Source organism: Homo sapiens, chromosome 6, assembly GCF_000001405.40.
Source record: "Homo sapiens chromosome 6, GRCh38.p14 Primary Assembly".
In the NCBI taxonomy this organism is placed as follows: Eukaryota; Metazoa; Chordata; class Mammalia; order Primates; family Hominidae; genus Homo; species Homo sapiens.
In genome coordinates this window covers 49,549,443-49,564,421 of record NC_000006.12, presented here as the reverse complement: position 1 = coordinate 49,564,421, position 14,979 = coordinate 49,549,443, and the positions used below count along the sequence as shown (strand labels likewise).

The window sequence follows — 14,979 nt, the reverse complement described above, 5'->3', positions numbered from 1 at the left end:
CAAAGGAGAAGAGAAAGAATTTACAAACAAAAATTTTCCCAAAAAAACTTTAAAGTTTAGTTAAGCTGAGAGGAACATTAGGTGATCTTGGTCATCCCCAACCAGTATTTTCTATAAAGCATTTAATTTGTTTGTACTTTGTATTTTTAATTTTTGTGAGTATGTAGTAGGTGTATGTATTTATAGGGTACATGAGATGTTTTGGTACAGGCATACAGTGTGAATTAGGTAAGTCCATTGGAAAATACTCTGGTTCCCTGACTTCCCAGTTGAACTAAATGAAACTGTACATAATTAAAAAAATGGAAGCTGCTAATCTTAGTTCATTGTTTGAACACATTTAAGGGGTAGTTCCATTTTCTGAATTACACTTAGTTCACAAATGGTGTTCAATAACATATCAGTTAATTCTTAATCCAAAGTCAAAATTAATTCTGCAGTCCACAACCTTTTTGGCACCAGGGACTGGTTTCATGGAAGACAATTTTTCCATGAACCAGGGGTGGGGAGGGAGATGGTTTTGGGGTGATTCAAGCACATTACATTTGTTGTGCACTTTATTTCTCTTATTATTACATTGTATTACATAAGAAAATAATTATACAACTCACCATAAGGTGGAATCAGTGGGAGCCCTGAGCTTGTTTCCTGTAATAGTCCCATCTGGGGGTGATGGGAGACAGTGACATTGAAAGTGTGTTCCATATGTCCAGGTTACTCTGTAATCTCATTTTGGTTGCAGCCACTGCAGAAAACCCTGCTTCACAAAGATAAGATACTGAAAATGGAAGCAGGCTTTTCAGTGCTTTCTTTTGTGGGAATCTTAGGATATTCCACCTTAACTTTGATCCAGAACATACAGAGATTTGAAGTTGTTTCAAACAAACTTAAGGCCACCAGATGCAGCTGTACAATTGAAGTACAACTCACTTGCCACTATAAAGCCTGCTACCAAATGCAGGTTGTCACTTACCACTCACTGATAGGGTTTTGATACGAGTCTGCAAGCAACTGATTTATTATGGTCTCTGTGTAGTCAACCCACTCTGCTAATGCTAATCTGTATTTGCAGCTGTTCCCAGTGCTAGCATCACTGCCTCAGCTCCACCTCAGATCATCAGGCGTTAGATTCTCATAAGGAGCATGCAGCCTAGATCCCTTGCATGCGCAGTTCACAATAGGGTTCATGCTCCTAGATGAGAATCCAGTGCCGCTGCTGATCTGACGGGGGGCAGAGCTCAGGCAGTAATGTGAGTGATGGGGAGCAGCTGTAAATACAGATGAAGCTTGCTCACTTGCCTGCTGCTGCTCACCTCCTGCTGTGTGGCCTCATTCCTAACAGGCCACATACCAATACCAGTCTGTGCCCTGGTGGGTGAAGACCCCTGAAATAGTGGACTACTTTCTCTTGCAGGGAATAGAAACAGCTTTAATTAAAGATCAAGAAATCTAGCCTGGGCAACATGGTGAGACCCCCATCTCTATTAAAAATACAAAAAAAAAAAAAAAGTAGCTGGGTGTGGTGGCACACACCTGTGGTCCCAGTTACTCAGGAGGCTGAGGTGGGCAGATTACCTGAGGTCAGGACTTTGACACCAGCCTGGCCAGCATGGTGAAACCCTGTCTCTACTAAAACTACAAAAATTAGCCAGGCATGGGTGGTGCAAGCCTGTAGTACCAGCTACTTGGGAGATTGAGGTGGGAGGATCACTTGAGCCCAGGGGGCAGAGGTTGCAGTGAGCCGAGATCGTGCCACTGCACTCCAGCCTGGGTGACAGAGTGAGACACTGTCTAAAAAAAAAAAAAAAAAAAAAAAATCTAATTTTAGTTGCAACCCTATCTTCCTTCCGTATTTAGGACTCTATGACTATATATTGGCAGTGACGTACTTAGTGTATCCGCCATCAGAAGCGGTCAATTTTTACATTAATATGAGAAAATAAATTTTAGTAATAATCATAAAATAAGACAAATAATAACTTTGCTCTTTTGGTTAGTCTGATAATAATATTTCATGTAAATGTCAAGTTAATAAGAAAATTTTAATAAAACTGAAATGTCTGCAAAAGAAATGTATTAGTCCATTCTCAGACTGCTATAAAGAAATACCTGAGAATGGGTAATTTATAAAGAAAATAGTTTTAACTGGCTCATGTTTCTGCAAGCTGTACAGGAAGTATAGCGGCTTCTGCTTCTGGGGAAGCCTCAGGAAGCTTTCAATCATGGTGGAAGACAAAGTGGGAGCAGGCTGTCTTACATGGTGGGAGCAGGAGCAAGAGAGAAGGGAGGTGCTACGCACATTTAAACAACTGGATCTTGTGAGCGCTCACTCACTACAAGAGCAGCACCAAGGGGATGGTGCTAAGCCATTCATGGGAAACCACCCCCATGATCCAATCACCTCCCACCAAGCCCCACCTCTAACATTGGGGATTATAATGCAACATGAGATTTGGGCAGAGACACAGATCCAAATGATATCAAGAAACAATCAAGACAACTAAATTGTACCAGTCATGTAATGTTTTATTTTCTTCATTCCTTAGTTTAAAAAAAATTAACAAAAAAGAATAGCCAGGCATGGTAGCTTGTGCCTATAGTTCCAGCTACTTGGGAGGCTGAGGTGGGAGGATCACTTAAGCCAAGGAGTTTCAGGCTGCAGTGAGTTACAATGATGCCACTACATTCCAGGCTGGGTGACAGAGTGAGACTCCATCTCTATTTTTTAAGAAAAGAATAAGTTTTAATTAAAGACATTCACTCAAATCCAGTAAAACAGCTCAGCTGTGAAATAAATTAACACTTATCAAAAATAATACATTTTGCTATTTTCTTATTTTAAATGTTACACATAAATAAGTCATATATAATGGCAGGATAGAAGTAACTCAAGTTCTCTTCCTCAGACACCACAATTGCTGTGGTATTGTTTGTGTTAAATCTGTTCTTGAAGTGCAGGTATTTATATATAAGGATTGAAGACACAAGGTACACTCAAAGCGAGCTCTAAAGATTCTGAACCTGGCCAGGCGCGGTGGCTCATGCCTGTGATCCCAGCACTTTGGGAGGCCAAGGCAGGGGGATCACCTGAGGTCAGGAGTTTGAGACCAGCCTGGCCAACATAGTAAAAACTCCGTCTCTACTAAAAATACAAGAATTAGCCAGGTTTGGCTGCACGCACCCGTAATCTCAGCTACCTGGTAGGCTGAGGCACGAGAATCGCTTGAACCCAGGAGGCAGAGGTTGCAGTGAGCTGATATCGTGCCACTTAACTCTAGCCTGGGCGACAGAGAAAGACTCTGTCTCAAAAAAAAAAAAAATTACTCTCACAATGAATGCATTTAGTTGAGTTTATGTGTGAGACAGACAGAGAGAGAGAGAGAGAGAGAGAGAGACGGTGATGGAGAGACAGAGATATTAGGAGGACAACATAGAGGCTTTTCAATGACCTTCCACACAGAAAAAATAAAGAAAAATAAAAATGTGGTAATTTGAAAATCACATCTGCTTTATTAAAATTTAAGCAATAATCACGAGAATTTTTTAGAATTTAGAACAACAAATTTTTTTTCAGATAGAAGCATTTTATCACTAACTACATGACAGTAATAAAAAGTAGAGGCCAGGCTCGGTGGCTCAAGCCTGTAATCCCAGCACTTTGGGAGGCTGAGGCAGGCAGATCACCTGAGGTCAAGAGTTCGAGACCAGCCTGGCCAACATGGCAAAACCCCATCTCTACTAAAAGTACAAAAATTAGCTGGGTGTGGTTGCAGGCGCCTGTAATCCCAGCTACTCAGGAGGCTGAGGCAGGAGAATAGCTTGAACCCGGGAGGCAGGTGGTTGCAGTGAGCTCAGATCGTGCCATTGCACTCCAGCCTGAGCAACAGGCTAAAAAAAGAAAGCAGAAAGACTTTTAGTCTGGCTTTATCATTGTTTTAAAATCTCTAATGATGATGCACTGCTTATTGTTCTCTCCTGAGCAAACCCCACCCATTGCCTGGTCCTTAGCATGCCACTGAATATATAGGTCAGAGAATCCCTTCTTCCACTCCAACAGAATCCCAAACAGGGAGAAAAATGACCAATCTCTTTCTTTTCTTTTTTTTTGAGATGGAGTCTCACTCTGTCACCCAGGCTGGAGTGCGGTGGCGCGATCTCGGCTCACTGCAACCTCTGCCTCCTGAGTTCAAGCTATTCTTCTGCCTCAGCCACCCGAGTAGCTGGGATTACAGGTGCGCACCACCGCATCTGGCTAATTTTGTGTATCTTTAGTAGAGACAGGGTTTCACCATGTTAGTCAGGCTGGTTTCGAACTCCAGACCTCAGGTGATCCACCCACCTCAGCCTCCCAAAGTGTTGGGATTAAAGGCATGAGCCACCGCACCCAGCCTGATCAATTTCTAATATAAGGTTATTTCATTTGTAACTTTGTACGTTATTCCACCCAGTTAGGATAGAAAGACTGTAGGATAAACCCTATAACCTCAGGAGCCTGGGATAACATTGAGGCTGGATTGGAAAGTCCATAGGTTGGCTTAGGGCTTTTCCTGACACAGGGACACCAGTTAGAGAATCCTTACAGAAGCTGACTGCATTCCGAAGTTCTCCCTGAAAGTTCTCTCGCTTTGTTAAAAATTATGTGGTACCCCTTATGCCTCCTTTTTCCTCTTCCAAGTAAGCTGAATTCAAGATACCCAATTGTGCCCACTTTTCCAGGGACCTCATGGCCTTTCCAAATAAGCTCAAAGTCACAAGATGTTTTGAAGGTAGAAAATGGCCTAAGGATGGTCCAATGGTCACACAAAGCAAATTTAACACTCAGGGGTTTGGGCCAGGAACAAGTCACGCAGTCTAAAGGTAATGCTTATGTATGCTATAACCCCAGTGACCACTAGATAATACCCCATGCCTAGGTGGACTTATGCAGACTTGACTTTGCTTTCAGTAAGTAGCACTCATCCATTACATAGCATTTTGGATGTCAACAGGATTAAACTATGCCAAAGCATATTTCACTTCCAGAAAAAAGCTACTTGCAAGGCTGCATTCTGGATGTTTCTAATAAACAAGTATAATGTGATTATCTCCATAAAAGAAATCTGTGACTAAATCTTCCAGAATTTTATGACTGGGTTTTTCAGTTTCTAACTCTGTCTTTAGGATTGGTCTAACATAAATGAAAGACTGAATATATATATATATATATATATATATATATATATATATATATATATATATATATATATATATATATATGGACAATGACCAGATCATATATGGTAAAATATGAAAAAAGACAGAAAAGAGTCTTAGTAAAAACCACTGGTTTGGATTTGATTGTTTTGTGTGTGCTGTATGTCTTCTGCTCTTTGTCATTAAAGACTAAAGCCTAATTAGATTGAAGAGTAAACTGAAGGCTGGGCATGGTGGCTCATGCCTGTAATCCCACCACTTTGGGAGGCCGAGGCAGGTGGATCACGAGTTCAGGAGATCGAGACCATCCTGGCTAACACAGTGAAACCCCGTCTCTACTAAAAATACAAAAAATTAGCCAGGCATGGTGGCGGGCACCTGTAGTCCCAGCTACTCGGGAGGCTGAGGCAGGAGAATCACGTGGACCCAGGAGGCGGAGCTTGCAGTGAGCCAAGATCGTGCCACTGCACTCCAGCCTGGGCAACAGAGCAAGACTCCATCCCGCACCCCCCCCAAAAAAAATACGAAAAGTAAACTGAACACACTACCACTACCACTAATACTAATTATAATAATAATAGTTAATTTTGAGTATTTATTATAGGCCAGACACTGTTCTAAGAATTTTTTATTCACCTTAATCCTTGAAAAAAACTTATGAGGTTGATACCATTTATTACAGAATTCCAACCTACAAGTTTTGTGAGAAGGAAGTCACAACCTGGGAAGTCAAAACACAGCCTCTGGAGCAATCAGCTCAAAAGGTCAGGACTTGGTCAGTGACTGCCAGCTTCTCTCTCTCTCTCTCTTTTTTTTTTTTTTTTCCAACTCAGGGCCTACCTGAGAAATCCCTAAACTAATCATGTAAGAAGTTGTCCTAGATCACCTGCCTCCAGCTCCCCCCATGCCAATAGGCTCCAAGCAGAACATAACTAAAGCCTTTCTTTTTCCACTATTGTTGAAGAGTAATTGCATGGGACAGAGTTAAACAGCAAGGAAAACTTTATTCAAGACTATTGCATTAGAGGCCGGGCATGGTGGCTCACACCTGTTATCCGAGCACTTTGGGAGGCCAAGGCAAGTGGATCATTGAGGCCAGAAGTTTGAGACCAGCCTGGCCAACATGCCCAAAACCCGTCTCTACTAAAAAAAAAAAAAAAAAAAAAAAACATATTTGAGTGTAACGGCATGCACTTGTAGTCTCAGCTACTCAGGAGGCTCAGGCAGGAAAATCACTTGAACCCGGGAGGCGGAGGTTGCAGTAAGTCAAGATTGCGCCTCTGCCCTCCAGCCTGGACAACACAGTGAGACTGTCTCAAAAAACAAACAAACAAAAAACAAAAACTATTGCATTAGGGGAGAGAGATTGAACTTAATTCCTTTGAAACAAAAGGTGGGAATATTTTAAGCATTAAGGCGAGCTAGAGAAAAACTACGAGACAATGTTAAAAGGGACATTGGTCAATGTGATTATGCCATCTATGTTTGCTGATTGGCACTTTGAGAAGCTGGGCTTCCACCCTCCCACAGAGACTGATAGTTAGAGACCTCTGAGTTTTGTTTGTTTGTTTGTTTGTTTTCAGTGATTACACTTCACAGTAATGGCTCCTAGGTCCTCAAGAAAGACATACCTGGATCTTTCTTAGATTTACATTTCAAAGGGGCAGAGAAATAATTTACCATTCAAAGTCTTCTAAAGTAAATGCTCTAAGAAAAGGAAAGTCAGGGACCTAAGTCAAGAAGCTTATCTGAAATTTAGTCAAGCTGAGGAATGGGTAAGATCATCTTGGCCACTACAAAGCTTTCCTATTGCCCTACCTGCCTTCGCTTTCCTGCCAAGCACAAATGATGTTGGCTGACTCTCTTATTATAGCAAGCTCTGCAAACACAGCCTCTGTTTGTTCTATTTTGGGGAGGGCTGCAGTCTCCTCAAAATACTCTTGTTCTGTTTATTTATTAATTATTATTATTATTTTGAGATGGAGTTTTGCTCTTGTTGCCCAGGCTGGAGTGCAATGGCGCGATCTCAGCTCACTGCAACCTCCTCCTCCTGGGTTCAAGTGATTCTCCTGCCTCAGCCTCCTGAGTAGCTGGGATTATGGGCATGCACCATCACCTCGGCTAATTCTGTATTTTTAATAGAGATGGGGTTTCTCCATGTTGGTCAGGCTAGTCTTGAACTCCTGACCTCAGGTGATCCACCTGCTTTGGCCTCCCAAAGTGCTGGGATTACAGGCGTGAGCCACCGTGCTTGGCCTCTTGTTCTGTTTTAAGGTTAGAAATGTAAGTTTGAATTTGGTTAGTTCCTTGCTTTGAAGATAACCAAGTCTTAATGTTTTGTTTGTGACTATTGGCTGCATAATGCCTGAAAACCAATCATAACTCCTTACTCTCTCCAAAGTAATCTGGACTTTATCTTCATCTAGAGAAGTAAATTCACAGATTTGCCCTCCCTAATTACAGAGCAAAGTACTGACTGCAGTTATAGAGATGTCATGGTGTTCAAGAGTCACAGCCCTTTGTTTACTTATCTGAATCAGTTGATTCAAATTCTGGCTCCACCTTTTCCCCACCCCTCTCAATTCATCACAAGTGGCTGACAAGTTCTGACTCAGCCTGCAGAGTTGCAATTGTGCAATGTGTTAATGACTTCCTGCTTTTTCACCTTTACAGGAGTTTTTTATAATGTATTATTTCATATTCCTAGACAACAAAATAGCCATATTTCTGAAATAGTTTGAAATTCAATGATGAGTCAATGGTTCATTAGGACAAACTTTCAAATAATAAGGCTCTTTAAAAAAGACACTATAAAGCTTCATAGAGATCTCTTCGCCAATTTACCCATTCATATCCTCTATCTTTCACCTTCCTGTAATCTTTAACTGTGTTCAAAACTCTATGAATTATTATCTTCATGGCATTGTTAACAATTAATTGGGAATACAGAATAAAAAAACTTTTCAGTTTTGGTAAGTGACAAAATAGGATACAGAACTAAATATATGAGAATATGTCAGTGTTTCTCAAACTTTAATGTGAATCATCCAATGATCTTGACAAAATGCGAATTCTGATTCAACAGATCTGGAATGGGGCCTGAGATTCTACTTTTCTAAAAACCTTCTTGGAGATGCCCACGCTGCCGTTTCACAGAACGCCCATCTTGAGTAGCATCAGTATATGTTTGTTTATATACAGATCATATTCAGAAAATATACAGAGGTTACATTAATACTACTTTATATAGTTTATGCTTAGAAAGATGTATGTATATATGTAGGTATATTCACATGAAAATACAATAAAATAAAACCACACTTGGCCAGGCATGGTGGCTGATGCCTATAAGCCCAGCATGTTGGGAGGCCAAGGCAGGAGGATTGCTTGAGTCCAGGATTTTAATACTAGCCTGGGCACGCCAGGTGCGCGGTGGCTCACGCCTGTAATCACAGCACTTTGGGAGGCTGAGGTGGACAGATCACGAGATCAGGAGATCGAGACCATCCTGGCTAACATGGTGAAACCCCATTTCTCCTAAAAATACAAAAAATTAGCCGGGCGTGATGGCGAGCGCCTGTAGTCCCGGCTGCTCGGGAGGCTGAGGCAGGAGAATGGCATGAACCCGGGAGGCAGAGCTTGCAGTGAGCGAAGATTGCGCCACTGCACTCCAGCCTGGGCAACAGAGCGAGGCTCCGTCTCAAAAAAAAAAAAAGACTAGCCTGGGCAACATAGCAAGGTGCTGTCTCTATAAAACAAAAACAAAACAAAACAAAAAATTCATGCTTGAAACTTGCCAAATATTAAAAGAGATTTGGGGTCATCTGTAAATTTTTGTTTCCTTTATTATATCTTCTTTTTCTTCATAATATTTTCCCAATTTTTATGCAGTGTATACAACTGTTTCTTTTAATAAAAAGTTTTTTTCTTTTTCAAAGCAAAGAGCCACATCAAGTTTTATCACCAAGCACTGGTAACATCCAACAAAAATAAGCAGTAAGTCAAATGTAATGATTCCCAAAAGGAGATCATGGTTGTAAACAAAGAGTTTTAAGAGAGGATAACACTTGCCTGATCCTGGGGGTTATGCGATTCTGACATTTATCTTATGGTCACTGGAGTGGCTTCTGGAAGTCTTTGATGCGGTTCATCCACCTAACACAATTTTAGATAATCATGTTTTTCAGAGGAGTAGAGGTAAGATCAAAGAGCCAAGATCCAGTCATTCTCAGAGATTTCTTAGTATTGAGGATGCCCAAGTTTCACTTTGGATGCACTCCCAGGACATTTGTAAACGGGATAAGATTTCTCAGGCTCTTCAAATAACAGGGTTCTGCTTGGATCAGGAACACCTGTGAAGCAAATTCAACAGTATTTGGACTTACTACTTTTTGTTTCCAATGAAAAGGAACTCTATATTAAATGAAATCTATAAACATGTTCTAGGCAGTTAATAGGGAAGTTGAGTAAGCACTTTAAAAATAAATTTTCATTGCTTGAAACAGTGAGAAAAGGAAAAAAAAAATCACTTAAAATTAACTCAAACAGGCCGGGCATGGTGGCTCAGGCCTGTAATCCCACCACTTTGGGAGGCCGAGGCGGGCGCATCACAAGGTCAAGGAGATCGAGATCATCCTGGCTAACACGGTGAAACCCCGTCTCTACTAAAAATACAAAAAAACTAGCCAGGCATGGTGGCGGGCGCATGTAGTCCCAGCTACTCAGGAGGCTGAGGCAGGAGAATGGTGTGAACATGGGAGGCGGAGCTTGGAGTGAGCAGAGATCGTGCCACTGCACTCCAGCCTGGGCGACAGAGCAAGACTCTGTCTCAAAAACAAAACAAAATTAACTCAAACATATTTGGTTTAAAGGAGTTAAGCTAACTTGACTAAATACGTTTTTGGCTGAAAGACAAAATGAAAACAAATTGTGTCTATTCTGCTTTTCTAGACAACAGGGCATCAGATTTAAAATCCCAGAGGGAAAACAAACTAACCTGACAGGTCAAAGAAAGTATTCAAAGCTCCCATCTGCCCAGAACTAGGAGGTATGTAAACTCTTTTCAGTGACTGTTAAGGATAGTGTACCTTAGTCCTTTGAGCTTTACCATGAGTCCCTACAGAAGATGTGAAGGTCATTTCTAAAGAATTTAAGAAATATACTTACTGATCCATTAAAGGTTAGGAAAAGCTAGAAATAAGTCCTTTCTTTCAGGAGTAGAGAAGAGTCTTATTAAAAACCACCGGCTTGACTTTCATTAGCTTTCTTGTGTTATACAATTTCTGCTTTTTGTTACTAAACAAAAGACTAAAGCCTAGTTAGGATGAAAAGTGAACTAAACAATAACCGTGCTAATAATAAAAAATGTAACTAACTTTGAGGATTTATTGTATGACAGGCAGGGTTCTAAGTATTTTCATTTAACTTAACCCTAAAAAAAAAAAACCCTCTATGAAGTTGATACTATTTATTGTCCCCACTTAACAAATCAGGATACAGAGGCACACAGAGATAAGGCAACTTGCCCAAGGACACAAGTTAATAAAGAGGTAGAGCCAGTTTTGAACCCAAGCAGCTGAACGCCAGAAATTGCCTCCAGAGAAGGCAGCTGAGTGATGCTACTTACCATTTTTGGTTATTGTGAAAGAGACTTTTTTTGTTCTCTATATTCAATGATTAGTCACCTGGGACATGTGATGATTCAACCAAATTAATAAGCTCAGGTCTGAAACTTACATGCCAAGTAAGTTAATCTCCCACTGGAGTCAGGGAGGGTTGTTAAGGAAAAGAGATTCATTTTAAGGGATGAATCTTTTCTACCTGTCAAGCAATTTTGAACACAGATGAGCTCAGATGCTGAATTCCTCTCCCAAGTGAGGGTCTCACAGGCCTAAGAACTGCTAGTGATGATTCTCCAGCCAAGAGGCCTTGCAGAATTCAGGAACATTAAGGTGATTCTAGTACTTCTCATAAACATGAGTTAGAAAACCTAAGATATTGGCCAGGCATGGTGGCTCATACCTGTAATCCCAGCACTTTGGGAGGCGGAGGCAGGAGGATCACCTGAGGTTGGGAGTTCAAGACCAGCCTGGCCAACATGGAGAAACCCCATCTCTACTAAAAATACAGAATTAGCCGGGGTGATGGCACATGCCTGTAATCCCAGCTACTGAGGAGGCTGAGGTAGGAGCATCGCTTGAACCCTGGAGGTAGAGGTTGTGGTGAGCCAAGATCGTGCCGTTGCACTGCAGTCTGGGCAACAAGAGAGAAACTCTGTCTCAAAAAAAAGAAAAAAATAGAAAAAGAAAGAAAACCTAGGATATCCTCAGGCATCTTTTGACCCCTAAGTAAGGGTCAAATAAATCCTCTAAAGGCTGCCCCAAACCTTTAGGAGGGAGATTATCACATTCTTCATCCACTTAGTAAGCATATGCAATTACTAGCTGTGTGACTTAGACATGCTACAAGACCTCTAGGCCTAGGTTGGCTCATGAGTAAAACAGGGGCATCTTATCTATCTGGCCTGCCAGGAGGCAAGAGGTAGATCAGATGATCTTTTGAGAACACTTCAAGCTCTAAACTAAAAATGAAGGCAAAAGGGAAGACTGGGGAAGGAGGCACTTTTCAACTATTTGCTCATCAAAAGCCAGAGTCCTACCTGCTTTGTTAATTCTTGCAGTAAATACTCCTTCAGGTGGTAAAGTCAAGCAGTTCACCTGGAGAGGGCTGCTTTGCTCCTCACAGAGCTTCAACCAGGCCAACTACTAAAGAGTTAATTCACATAGTATTTAATAATAAAGAGGAACAAACAAAATAAGAAAAATTAGTTGTTTCAGTATTACCAGAGGAGATTTTTTTGAACTACACAAGGAGAATGGTATCTTCAATCTATTCTTGACTACAAGTCTCATTAATGAAGAACTATGGAAAAGAATAAGACATGCATTCATTTTATGGCAAACTACATATTGCTATCTACCTTTAGTTCAGAACATTTACATGCAGTATTTTTAATATTAAAATTAAAATGTATGATAAATGCATGTTTACAGGACTAAATTAGCTATTGTTTGCAGTAAAGCCTTTGTAAATGGAATTTCACGTTGAAATCTTAGTCTTCTGTCCCCAACTCCTTCTTTCCCTAGCTCCTCTCGTTTTCTTTCTAACACTGAAATGTGGGGGAGAAAAATGAAAAGTGCACATCAGAAGAGAGTCACTTGCTGCTTTGGTTTTACTTTCCCATTTCTTTTTACTTTCTGTTTTTGGCTTTTAAAACAAGCCTCTTCTCCACCCACTCCCACCCTCTTTGCAGAGAGCAGACTTCAAACTTCACTTCTGTTTCTAGGTCCTAAAGAGAAACAAGAGGGGGGCGGGGAACAGAAAAGAGATCAATTGAGAGTTATTCCAAAATGCAAATTAACAACAGGTTTTCTCATTTCAAAACTCCCACATTCTGCCAATCTGAAAATATCTTTTCTCCACCTCTTCTGAATGACTTAGGTCCCCAGACAGCGAAGGAATTCAAGCCACAAAGGAGGTATTATGCTGCTTACAGTTCTTAATCTGCCTCCCCGAAGCGCTGCACCAGCCTCTCAAAAGGTTCCTTCTGTAGGTTAATTGCAGGTTGGAGCTCCCAGAATAGCATTTTCTTTTAAGGATGATCGCTCATCCACCATCCCGGAACATTTCTCGAGCTACTCATTAGAGTTTAATTTCCTCGAGCCAAGTCCCTGGAGACGGTGAAACCCTCCTCCCCGCGGCGTGGACGCGGGATGCCCCTGTTCGTGCCTGGAGAGCCCGGGATTCAGCAGGGCCCCAGCGTTCCCCAGGCTGTCCCTCTCTACTGCTGCGAAAAGTGAGCGCGGTCACGAAGTGCTCCTCAGTCCTCGTGGTCATGCGACCCTTGGCCCAGGAGGTCTGCAACACTTCTTGTGTTACCTGATAATCCTCCACCCGCACAAGCACGTATTTGGGTGGGTCTGCTGCGTCCCGCGGCGGGGCTACACGCCTGCCAGAAATTCGCTTTTGTCGTTGAAAGACAGAAGGGTAGTTGGGCTCCTCGCCGTGGTCCTCTCCACCCGCATGAGGAAGGTCCTCTGCACCGGCCACCTCTTCCCGTGCAGGGTCCCCTCGAGTCCCTAACCACCTCTCTGGGTGCAGGAGAAAGAGCACTTTCTCTCTGACCCAGGACTCACGGTCCAATTCCTCCCCGGCCCGAGGTCCGAGGGCCCGATCTGCCGTTCTGTCCTCGTGGCCGCCGCCCTGGCTTCGGCTCGCCCCTGCCGTCGCGGGATTCCGGGCGCCCGGAGCTAGCGGAGCCCCGCGCCCTACCTCCCGCGGAAAAGGCCCGAGGTCCCCCAGGCTGCGGGAGGAGTCCATGGGATTCGCAGCTCCCTGAGGCCCCCGGGTCTCCATCCTGGCAAAAGGGTCATTCATTCGTTCCTTCTTTGACCGGTTCAAGCAGCAAGCGCCTGCTGAGCTCCGGAAAGCGCGGGACCACCAAGCCCTGGGTGTGGCCTCTGCTGCAGCTCCGGACTCCCAGCCGGTGAAAGCTGAAGACTAGATCAGCCCCAGGCTAACCGCGTGCGGAACCCGCCTCTTCACCCTCCGCCTCTCCCACCTGGCGGCTGTCTAGCCATTCAGAAGAAGCTTGACACAAGCCCCAGTCACTCCTCTTCTTCCTCCTACCCCTGTCCGGAGCCCTGCTCCCTTTGTCATTCGCTGATTCAGTCCCCTCTTACTTTTCACCTCTATCCTAGTTTCCCACCCACCTTTCGTTTTTCTCCGGAGCTGAGGCGCAAAGGACACCCTCGCACTGCGCCCCCACTGAAATGCCCCGAAGTATGTTTGCTTTCCAAGGACGCTCCTTGAGGTGAAGGAACAAAGAAGTTTGTGTGCATTTTAATTAGCTGATCTAATTCTGAAAAGGGTTTTTGTCCATTCCGAATCCACTCCCACCATGCTGCCAAAATAATGGAATGTAGATCAAATGGTCAGACTGAAAAGCTGAAGCCTTGGAGAAACTGGTTTTGGTTTCTTTGTCCTTCTTCCTTTAGAATGCCAGAATCTGTAGCTCTGGAGGACAATGGTCACACCTGTGTCCTCCTCCTCCTCTTCCTCCTCCTTCTTTTTTCCCGCTCTCTTTCTCTCTCCCTCTCCCCGCTCCCCCTTCCTCTTACCCCACCCCCCCACATTAGATATGGTCTCGCTCTGTAGCTCAGGATAGAGTGCAGTGGCGCAGCCTCGACTTTCCAGGCTCCCACCTCAGCCCGTCAAGTAGCCGGGACTACAGGCGCGCACCCCCATGCCCGGCTTTTATTTATTTATTTATTTATTTATTTATTTATTTATTTATTTATATTTTTCTAAGAGATGGTAGGGGTGGGGCTCTCCTATATTGCCCAGGCTGGTCTGGAACTCCTGGGCTTACGAGATACCCAGGATCCCCCACCCTACCCACACACCCACCTGGGCCTCCCAAAATTCTGGGATTACAGGCTTGAGCCACGGCCCTGGCCAGTCTTCATTTTGTGTGTAATCAACGCTTGTCTCAGGAAGGTGTAGTCTTTGATTTAAAACAAGCTATAAAACAGAAGCAAAACAAACATCCAAATGAATTTTTTCAGGACTTAAAATTGTTTGTGTTTGTGTCGTTTATAAAATTCCCTCTGCACCCACCCGTCCTCTTTAACCACAGGGGTTAAAAAAAGTTAAGTGTCTCTGGCGAGGCTTTTAGAATTTACCCATAGGCAGGCCCGCTGACCACTACTCTTTGCCTAAGGTTAA

General features: G+C 43.0%; 1 protein-coding gene across 54 annotated transcripts, besides 3 other annotated features; it reads right to left on the bottom strand.

Moving 5' to 3' along the window:
* Positions 1-2,505: 2,505 nt before the first annotated feature.
* C6orf141 (chromosome 6 open reading frame 141) lies at positions 2,506-13,754 on the bottom strand. 54 transcript variants are annotated; one of them, NR_170590.1, is made up of 6 exons: positions 12,747-13,754; positions 11,852-12,541; positions 11,348-11,445; positions 9,449-9,545; positions 9,265-9,348; positions 2,506-2,718 (listed from the first exon to the last, which is right to left on the bottom strand). NR_170590.1 is itself a non-coding variant. In XM_047418230.1 (6 exons), exon 1 carries the CDS (start codon positions 13,627-13,629, stop codon positions 12,895-12,897), a length of 735 nt encoding a protein of 244 aa, XP_047274186.1. In that variant the 5' UTR covers positions 13,630-13,754; the 3' UTR covers positions 3,488-3,888; positions 9,265-9,348; positions 9,449-9,545; positions 11,215-11,445; positions 11,852-11,957; positions 12,747-12,894. The 54 variants fall into 54 exon arrangements, 11 of the variants coding, with proteins under 11 accessions (XP_047274186.1, XP_047274185.1, XP_047274182.1 ...); NR_170578.1 differs by having other exon boundaries at positions 11,215-11,445; positions 13,132-13,754; NR_170576.1 differs by lacking the exon at positions 2,506-2,718 and adding an exon at positions 3,488-3,888 and having other exon boundaries at positions 11,215-11,445.
* Positions 12,434-12,953: an enhancer, noted in NCBI's record as "OCT4-NANOG-H3K27ac-H3K4me1 hESC enhancer chr6:49519182-49519701 (GRCh37/hg19 assembly coordinates)". NCBI's record gives its function as "activates a minimal SCP1, AML or CMV promoter by ChIP-STARR-seq in primed H9 embryonic stem cells {active_cell/tissue: H9 hESC(primed)}" and the evidence as "EXISTENCE:reporter gene assay evidence [ECO:0000049][PMID:30033119]".
* Positions 12,970-13,039: an enhancer, noted in NCBI's record as "active region_24664". NCBI's record gives its function as "activates an Ori minimal core promoter by ATAC-STARR-seq in GM12878 lymphoblastoid cells {active_cell/tissue: GM12878}" and the evidence as "EXISTENCE:reporter gene assay evidence [ECO:0000049][PMID:35858748]".
* Positions 13,710-13,769: a silencer, noted in NCBI's record as "silent region_17277". NCBI's record gives its function as "represses an Ori minimal core promoter by ATAC-STARR-seq in GM12878 lymphoblastoid cells {active_cell/tissue: GM12878}" and the evidence as "EXISTENCE:reporter gene assay evidence [ECO:0000049][PMID:35858748]".

What these genes read in the sequence shown, in the direction of transcription:
- C6orf141 (XM_047418229.1), bottom strand. Translation starts at nt 13,629, where the DNA reads ATGAATGACCCTTTTGCCAGGATGGAGACCCGGGGGCCTCAGGGAGCT.